An 8,965-nucleotide genomic window follows, 5' to 3' on the forward strand; every position below is an offset into this window, starting at 1 on the left:
AGCCTCCCGAGTAGCTGGGAGTACAAGCACCCACCACCACGCCCGGCTAAATTTTGTATTTTTAGTAGAGATGGGGTTTCACTATGTTGGCCAGGCTGGTCTGGAACTCCTGACCTCAGGTGATCTGCCCACCTTGGTCTCCCAAAGTGCTGGGATTACAGGCATGAGCCACTGCGTCCGACCAAGTTGATCAATCTTTTGTTTTATGACATATTGGTTTTGTGTTAGGTTTTCCCATTCTGAGATTTAAAAAAAAATCTGACATAGTTTATTTTAGTATTGTTGCTATTTTATTGCTAATGTTTAAATCTTTTTTTTTTTTTTTTGAGACAGGATCTTGTTCTATCACCCAGGTTGGAGTGCAGTGGCACTATCATAGCTCACTGTAGCCTTGACCTCCCTGGCTCAAGTGATCCTCTCACCTCAGCCTCCCTAGTAGCTGGGACTGCAGTGACACCATGCTCAGCTAATTTAAATTATTTTTTGTAGACATAGGGTCTTGATATGTTGCCCAGGCTGGTCTCAAACTCCTGGGCGCAAGCGATCCTCCTGCCTCAGCCTCCTAAAGTGCTGTGGTTACAGGCGTGAGCCACCATGCCTGGCCTCATTTAAACCATGAACGTAATTTATCCTGGTGTAAGGTGTGAACTATGAATCTGCATTATTATTTTTTTTTCAGATGGCTAAACTTTGTCCCAAAGCCAATTTATTGCATAATCCGTATTTTCCCCACTCATCTGAAAAAGTGCCTTATCCTATGCTAAATTCTCTTGGGCTGTTTCTGGATTTGCTGGTCTATTCTGCTAACTGCTGTCTATTCATGGGGACATTTTAGTTGGTGCCACAAATTTATTGAGCAGTTCTGTGCTATGTGTTCTATATATAAGCTGCGGTAGTTAACACAATTAGAATATTGGGCTGGGCTCCGTGGCTCATGCCTGTAATCCCAGCACTTTGGGAGGCTGAGGCAGGCAGATCACTAGCGGGCAGGAGTTCAAGATCAGCCTGGCCAACATGGAGAAACCCCGTCTCTACTAAAAATACAAAACTCAGCCGGGCGTGGTGGTGGGTGCCTGTAACCCCAGCTACTCGGGAAACTGAGGCATGAGAATTGCTTGAGCCGGGATGCGGAGGTTGCAATGAGCCGAGATCGCACCACTGCACTCCAGTCTGGGTGACAGAGCAAGACTCTGTCTCAAAAAAAAAAAAAAAAATTAAAATACTGACTCAGTGGCCGTGTGAACGTTAGCAAGTGACTTCATCCCTCTGCCTCAGTTTCTTCAGCAATAAAGTAGAAATGATAATAGTGCCCACCTCATAGGCTTGTTGGAAAGATTGCGTAAAATTTTTTTTCCTGACAGTCTTGCTCACCCTATCAACCAGGCTGGAGTGCAGTGGTGCAGTCTCAGCTCACTGCAACATCTACCTCCTGGGTTCAAGCAATTCTCCTGCCTCAGCCTCCTGAGAATCTGGGACCACAGTATGCACCACCACACCTGGCTAATTTTTGTATTTTTTGCCATGGTGGTCAAGCTGGTCTCAAACTCCTAGCTTAAAGTGACTCGCCCGCCTTTGGCCTTGCAAAGTGCTGGGATTACAGGCATGAGTCACCATGCCCAGCCCTGATTCAAGAATTTAATGTACTATGCAAAGTGCCTATAGCAGTGTCTGGCATATAATATACACTAAATAAATGTTAGTCATTTATTTTTATTATTTAGGGTCCTTTTTTTTTTTTTCTTTTTGTAGAGATGGAGGTCTTGCTATGTTGCCCAGGCTGGTCTTGAACTCCTGGCCTAAAATGGTTCTAGTGCTCTGGCCTCCCAAAGTGCTGGGATTACAGGTGTGGGCCATCACACCTGGCTGTAAGGCCATTTTTAATACTTCCTTCAGCCCTGTGACTGTTGACCCAATTCTTTGGATGAGGAAATTGGGGCTTGAGGCCCTGAGATGAGTTGCCCAGGAACTTGGTGAGTGGCGGCACTGGTTCGGAGAGAGGCTTCCCTTGTTCTTGAGACCTGTGTGCATAAGCCTGGCCACTTTGAGCTGTCAGATCTCTCTGAATTCTCGTGGGGGAGATGGGGCCTTTTCTTCCTTCCTTTCTGTCACCCCAGCACCGCGGTGGCTGATCCCCGAAGAGGAAATGTCACACGAGGCCCCCCTAGTTGAGGGTGGGATGAGGCTTCACCAGGCGGCTGCAGCTCCAGCTTGCGTATTGAAAGACATCCTGGGTTCAGGCAGCCGGATCCTCAGCAGCTCAGCCTTTCCCTGCCAGGCCTACAGGGACCCCAAGTCTCTGAGAAGGCGGTGGCCTGCCTGGGGAGCCCTGGGGCCTTGGAAAGAGACCCCCACAGCCCATCCCTCACCAGCGGTGGGACCTGGGGCAAAAGCCTTCGCCCTTCTGAGGGTCAGTGTCCTCTGTGAAATGGGCAGGTTGTAACAGGGCTCAAAGAAGGTGATGGGTGCCTCGAGGGCTGGTGTGGAGATTTGCAGGGGGCTAGTGATTTAAAATGGCAAACAATGTGTTCTGTTTCCTACCATCCCCACCCCACAAAAGCAGCTGGGTATGGAGACAGAGGGCCCAAACTGCCAGTTCAAAGGCCTGTGTGCCAGGTGTGAGGCAGAGAGGACCCAGGAGGGGCCAAGCGGGAGAATGAGGTTTCTCCTGCTAGCGAGAGGGAAGATGTAGTGAGCTGGAAAGGGAACCCGAGGGAGGGTCTGGTCGTGGAGGCAGGTGGAACTTTTCCTCCCTACCCCTCCTTGAGGCCAGTCCAGGGGGAAAGAAGGTGGGGTGGGGGAAGGGGTAGATGGAAAGGAAGGAAATACAGAGGAAGGGTGCCCCCGGGGAGTTTGGGGTATTTGAGGGAGAGGCAGATTGGCATCCTCCTCCCTAACTGGAGTTGCTGGGTTGCGTCTTTACAGACAAATCCAGCTCCATGGGTTGGGCAGCCCGATTTGGCAGATAAAAATGCAGGATGCAATTGCTGGGACATACTTATACTAAAACATTATTATTATTATTATTATTACTATTATTTTAGAGATGGGGTCTTGCTCTGTTGTCCAGGCTGGAGTGAAGTGGCACGAACATGGCTCATTGCAGCCTTGACCTCCTGGGCTTTATCAATTTTCTTGCCTCAGCCCCTCAAGTAGCTGGGACTACAGATGTGCGCCACCACACCCGGTTAATTTTTAAATTTTTATAGGGACGGTGACGGAGGTCTCGCTATGTTGCCCAGGCCGGTCTTGAATACCTGGCCTCAAGGGATCATCCATCTTGGTCTCCCAAAGTGTTGGGGTTACAGGCATGAGCCACCGTGCCCAGTCACTAAAACACTATTTGTTGGTTATCTGAAATTCAAATTTAACTGAATGCCCTGTGTTTTATCTGTCTTACCTACCCAGGGGGCCTGAGGAAGACAGGGCTGGAGAGTGCTGATGAGGTATTGCATGACCTGTGTATGGTGCAGAGGTGCTCCAGGAGTTTCTGCAGGCTCTGATAGGGATACAGAAGGTAGCTGGGAGGATGTGACCTTGTAGCTGACGGCTGGTCCCAAGCAGGCGTCAAGCAGGAGGCTTGAGAAGCCTTAGCAACAACAAAAATGAAGAGGAAAGCCTCCAAGCTGCAAGAGAAACCGCAGTGCTCCTGCAGGTGGGAGGTGGGGGGAGCAACCCATCAGCCACCCAGCTTTGTCCAAACTCTCTCCCCTCCCCCAGTCACCCAGCCACATTCGCGGGCTCCCACCCTGTGGCCTGGGGGCTGAGGCTCTCCCAGGGGCAAGTGAAGCAGAAGAAAGAACACCATGGCGGTCCTCAGAGAATGGCTGGGGCTTAGAATCTTCAATGCAACTGAACAACAACAACAAAAATCACCAATTTGGACTGAATTTACCCAAATATGTCTCAATGATATTGTCAGAGGTGGTGAAGGTTGGAGTCAAGAAAATTATACTTGGGCTGGGTGCAGTAGCTCACAGCTGTAATCTCAGCACTTTGGAAGGTCAAGGCAGGAAGATCACTTAAGCCCAGGGGTTCAAGACCAGCCTGGGCAGCATAGCGAGACCCCATCTCTACAAAAAATACAGAAATTAGCCGGGTGTGGTGGTGCACACCTGTAGTCCCAGCTACTCGGGGGGCTGAGGTGGGAGGATCGCTTGAACCTAGGAGGTTGAGGAGGCTATAGTGAACTATGATAGCATCACAGAACTCCAGCCTGGGTGACAGAGGGAGACCCTATCTCAAAAAAGAAAAGAAAAGCCTTGGCATGGTGGTTCATGCCTGTAATCTCAGCACTTTGGGAGGCCAAGGCAGGCGGATCACCTGAGGTCAGGAGTTTGAGACCAGCCTGGCCAACATGGTGAAACCCTGTCTCTACTAAAAATACAAAAATTAGCTGGGTGTGGTGGCGGGCCCCTGTAGTCCCAGCTACTCAGGAGGCTGAGGCAGGAGAATCGCTTGAACCTGGGAGGTGGAGGTTGCAGTGAGCCGAGATTGTGCCACTGCACTCCAGACTGGGCAACAAGATTGAAACTCCACCTCAAAATAAATAAATAAATAAATAAATAAATAAATAAATAATAAAATAAAATATAAAATAGGGTTATGCTGTTTTCTTCCACGCCGATACCCTGTGCCCTGTCCTATTTGCTCCATGTTGAGTGCCTGGCATGGCTCCTGACACCCAGTCCCCAGACACTGGGGCATGAGCAGGGCATTGAGGAGGACCTGAACACCCAGGGCAGGCACCCAGAGAAGTGCTCCTTGTAATGCAGACTCTGAAGTCACTGGCAGCGGGAGGTGAGAGCTGCTTGAACGTGGAAAGAAGTGCTGGCACTCGAAGGGGTCACAGTCACTTTTTCCTATTTACCCAACACTTCTCCAGCATTAACTGTGGCCTGCCCTGTCTTAACTGCTTTATAAATATCACTTTATTTATCTTTTTCCTTTATTTTAAAATTTGTTTTTAAGAGACACAGTCTTACTTCGTCACCCAGGCTGGAGTGCAGTGGTGTGATCATGGCTCACTGCTGTCTTGAACTGTTGGGCTCAAGGGATCCACCTGCCTAAGCCTCCTGCGTAGCTAGGACTACAGGCATGCGCCACCGCACCTGGCTAATTTTTTTTTTTTTTTTGAGACAGAATCTCGCTCTCTTGCCCAGGCTGGAGTGCAGTGGCATGATCTCGGCTCACTGCAACCTCTGCCTCCTGGGTTCAAGTGATTCTCCTGTCTCAGCCTCCCGAGTAGCTGGGACTACAAGTGTGTGCCACCGCGCCCAGCTAATTTTCTGTATTTTTAATAGGGACGGGGTCTCACCGTGTTAGCAAGGATGGTCTCAATCTCCTGACCTCAGATCTGCCCGCCTTGGCCTCCCAAAGTGCTAGGATTACAGGCGTGAGGCACTGCGCCTGGTCCACCTGGCTAATTTTAAAAATTGTTTTGCAGAGATGGGGTCTCACTTTCTTGCCAAGGCTCGTCTTGAACTCCTGGGCTCAAGTGATCCTCCTTTCTCAGACTCCCAAAGTGCTAAAATTATAAGTGTGAGCTACTGCGCCTGGCCCTTTTATTTTCATTAAAAAATTATTATTATTATTATTATTTAGATGGAGTCTCGCTCTGTGGCCCAGGCTGGAGTGCAGTGGCATGATCTTGGCTCACTGCAACCTCCGCCTCCCGGCTTCAAGCAATTCTCCTGCCTCAGCCTCCCGAGTAGCTGAGATTACAGGCACGCTCCACTAGGCTCGGCTAATTTTTTTGTATTTTTAGTAGAGATGCAGTTTCACCATATCGGCCAGGCTGGTCTGGAACTCCTGATCTTGTGATCCGCCCACCTCAGCCTCCCAAAGTGCTGGGATTACAGGCATGAGCCACTGTGCCCAGCAAAAAATTATTTTTTAGAGACAAGTTCTTGCTATGCTGCCCAGGCTGGAGTGCAGTTGCTATTCACAGGTGCAATCCCACTACTAATCAGCACGGGAGTTTTTGTTTGTGTGTTTGTTTGTTTGAGATGGAGTCTTGCTCTGTCACCCAGGCTGGAGGGCAGTGGCACGATCATGGCTCACTGTAGCCTCAAGCTCCTAGGCTCAAGCCATCCTCCTGCTTCAGCCTCCTTAGTAGGCTGGGACCACAAGTGTGTGGCAACACGCTCGGCTCATTTTTAAAGCTTTTGTAGAGATGGGGGTCTTGCTCTGTTGCCCAGGCTGGTCTTGAACTTCTGGTTTCAAAGGATCCTCCCACCTCAGCCTCCCAAAGAGCTGGGATTATAGGCATGAGCCACTGCACTCAGCCCCAGGTCTTTCATTCAATGAATAGGATGTATATTGAGATGGTCTCTGGGGCAGGCCCTGTGGCTGGGCTCTGAGGACAAGCATGGAAATGAGATGCTGGATGGACACTAACAATTACTATCCAACGTGATCAATGGTATAAAGAGCCGAGTTTACTGAGCGTTTACTATGGGCTAGGCCATGTTATAAGCACGTTGCCCTGCTCTTTCTTCGTCCTCACAGCAACCCCCTGAGATATCACTGGCCTCATTTTGAAGATGAGGAAACAGAGGCTCAGACAAGTTCAGTCATTTGCCTATGGTCACAGCAAGCAAATGGCAAATTTGGGATTCACACCTGGGAGCTCTAAGTGTAGGTCTATAGGGGCACATCCCAGAGGGCTTCCTGGAGGAGGTGACACTGCCCCCTGGAGTAGTACAGAAAGGGTAGTTGAGAGAAGGGGAAGGTGTCCTAAGCAGAGGGAACTGCCGATAAAGTCCGGGAGGTGACCAGCCTGGCACCCTGGAGGGGTTGCAGGTAGTTGTGGGGCTGGAGCTGGTGCAGTGCCTGGTCTAGGCTCCTCGGTGGTGGGCAGAGCTGGTGCCCACCCACTCCTTCCTCAGAGGGTGGTCCCTGCTTACCATTCTCAGGGGCTCTGGCTGGGCTGGGCGGAAGGGGCAGGACAGGACTCAGGGCAGGCAGGAGTCCGAGGCTGCAGGGAAGCCATGAAGGCACCATTGCACTCCAGCCTGGGTCACACAGCAAGAACCCATCTTAAAAAAAAAAAAAAGACCCAGGGCAGGACCCCACCTTGCCTGGCCCTTGGGACAGCGTTGAGGCAGGAGCACCAGTCATGGAGGGGCAGGATTGCATGATGAGTCTGCACAGGCTGCCTGAGTTTGCCACCTGCCCTGTCCTTTGCTGGCTCTGTGACCTCGGGCAAGTCACTCTCCCTCTCTGAGTCTCAGTTGCCCCATCTACAAAACAGACAAGAGCAGCTCCTGGGCTTTTGTGAGGATCAGATTTCTTAGCAGATGCAGAGGGCTTAGTGCAGGGCCTGGAAGTAAGTATCTGTGGTGTCAGCTCTTATTAGCACTGAGACAGCGACCGTCAGCAAGTTCTCTGCTTTCCTTAGGGGGAGGGGAGCCCGTGGCAGTTGCAGGGCTAGTGTACCCCCCGGCCACCCTGCAACACCTTGGGATCAGGCCTCGGCCCTTCCCTAGGGCCCAGCCCCGCCACACACTTGGGTCTGAGCCTACTGGGGGTGTCACAGGCAGCTCCCGGCAGCCGGGGGAGGGGTGGGAACCAAGAGAAGTGGTGACTAAGACGGGAACCTGAAATGCACTCACATGGAGGCCTCCCCCAGGGAGGTGGGTTTTCACTCTGCTCTGGTGGGTGACTCATGCGGGGGCAGGCACGGAAGGTGCCAGGACACAGGGGTGACGCGCATCCCTCCCAAGAAGCTGGTGGTGCAGTGGGTTGTGGAGGGCTGGTGGTGTCTCCCAGATTCTGGGGGCGGAGGGATAGACTCTGTGACTGGGAGGCCTGGAGTCAGAAAGATCTGGGTTCCAGTTCCAGCCCTGTTAGCTTTGTGACCTTGGGCAAGCAACTTCCCTTCTCTGTGCCTCAGTTTGCCGGTCTGTAGCATCAGGTTCATCTCACATCCACATCCCAGCACTGAGTCCATCCTATTGTGCTTTATTGGCTCTTGGCCACTCCCCTCCTCAAGAACCTGCACTGGCTCCACATTACCCAACAACGAAATGCAGCCCTTCTCTGTTAGGGGTGGTGAGAAGGGCCAAGGAGGAAACACATTTATGGAATATCTGCTCTGGGGCCTTGGGCTTATTTATTTATTTTATTATATTTTTTTAGGGTGGAGTCTTGCTATGTTGCCCAGGCTGGAGTGGAATGGTGCAATCTCAGCTCACTGCAATCTCCACCCCCCAGGTTAAAGTGATTCTCCTGCCTCAGCCTCCTGAGTATCTGGGATTACAGGTGCCTGCCATCCTGCCTGGCTTATTTTTATATTTTTAGTAGAGACAGGGTTTCACCATGTTGGTCAGGCTGGTCTCAAACTCCTGACCTCAAGTGATCCACACACCTCGGCCTCCCAAGGGAGGGGATTACGGATGTGGGCCACTGCACCTGGCCCTGGGCTTATTTGAACCCCACACAAACCTATTTTACTGCTGAGAAAGCCAGCTCCCTGCAGGTGTCCAAGTCACCCAGGGCCACTCTGGGGGCAAAGCTGGGCTTCAAACCCTTGTCCGTCCCTCTCCATCCCCCAGAGTCCATCTCTCTCCTGCCCACACAGCTTCAAATCCAGTCAATAAAATGGCAGGAGTTTAAATGTGAGCATGTTTTTATTACAAAGAAGAATAAAAGAGAAAAGCAGAGAAAACTACCAATTGCTCTTCAGGGTCTCACCTCCTCGCAGGTAACATATGGTGACAATGTCTGGCTTACTCCTGAGTGCTGACACCAGAAGACAGCTGTTAAGAAGAGGTGGTGGGTGTCCCCTCCCCCTTGCCCTTTTAGCCAAGCTGAACCTTGGTGACACTATGAGTAAGTTATAAACGTACCTTAACTCGGCTCTGGGGTCTTCATTCTGTGCCTCCTAACTTACATGTATGTTACATGCCATTTTGTGTGCACAAAATTGTTTGTAGAGGCACCAACCCCTGACGGTTTCAAAGAT

The 8,965-nt window shown here is 50.9% G+C and overlaps 2 annotated features.

The window, feature by feature from the left end:
* Positions 3,164-3,665: an enhancer, noted in NCBI's record as "H3K4me1 hESC enhancer chr16:29036345-29036846 (GRCh37/hg19 assembly coordinates)". NCBI's record gives its function as "activates a minimal SCP1, AML or CMV promoter by ChIP-STARR-seq in primed H9 embryonic stem cells {active_cell/tissue: H9 hESC(primed)}" and the evidence as "EXISTENCE:reporter gene assay evidence [ECO:0000049][PMID:30033119]".
* Positions 7,362-7,461: a silencer, noted in NCBI's record as "silent region_7325". NCBI's record gives its function as "represses an Ori minimal core promoter by ATAC-STARR-seq in GM12878 lymphoblastoid cells {active_cell/tissue: GM12878}" and the evidence as "EXISTENCE:reporter gene assay evidence [ECO:0000049][PMID:35858748]".

The sequence above is a fragment of the Homo sapiens genome, chromosome 16 (genome assembly GCF_000001405.40).
Source record: "Homo sapiens chromosome 16, GRCh38.p14 Primary Assembly".
Taxonomy (NCBI): domain Eukaryota; kingdom Metazoa; phylum Chordata; class Mammalia; order Primates; family Hominidae; genus Homo; species Homo sapiens.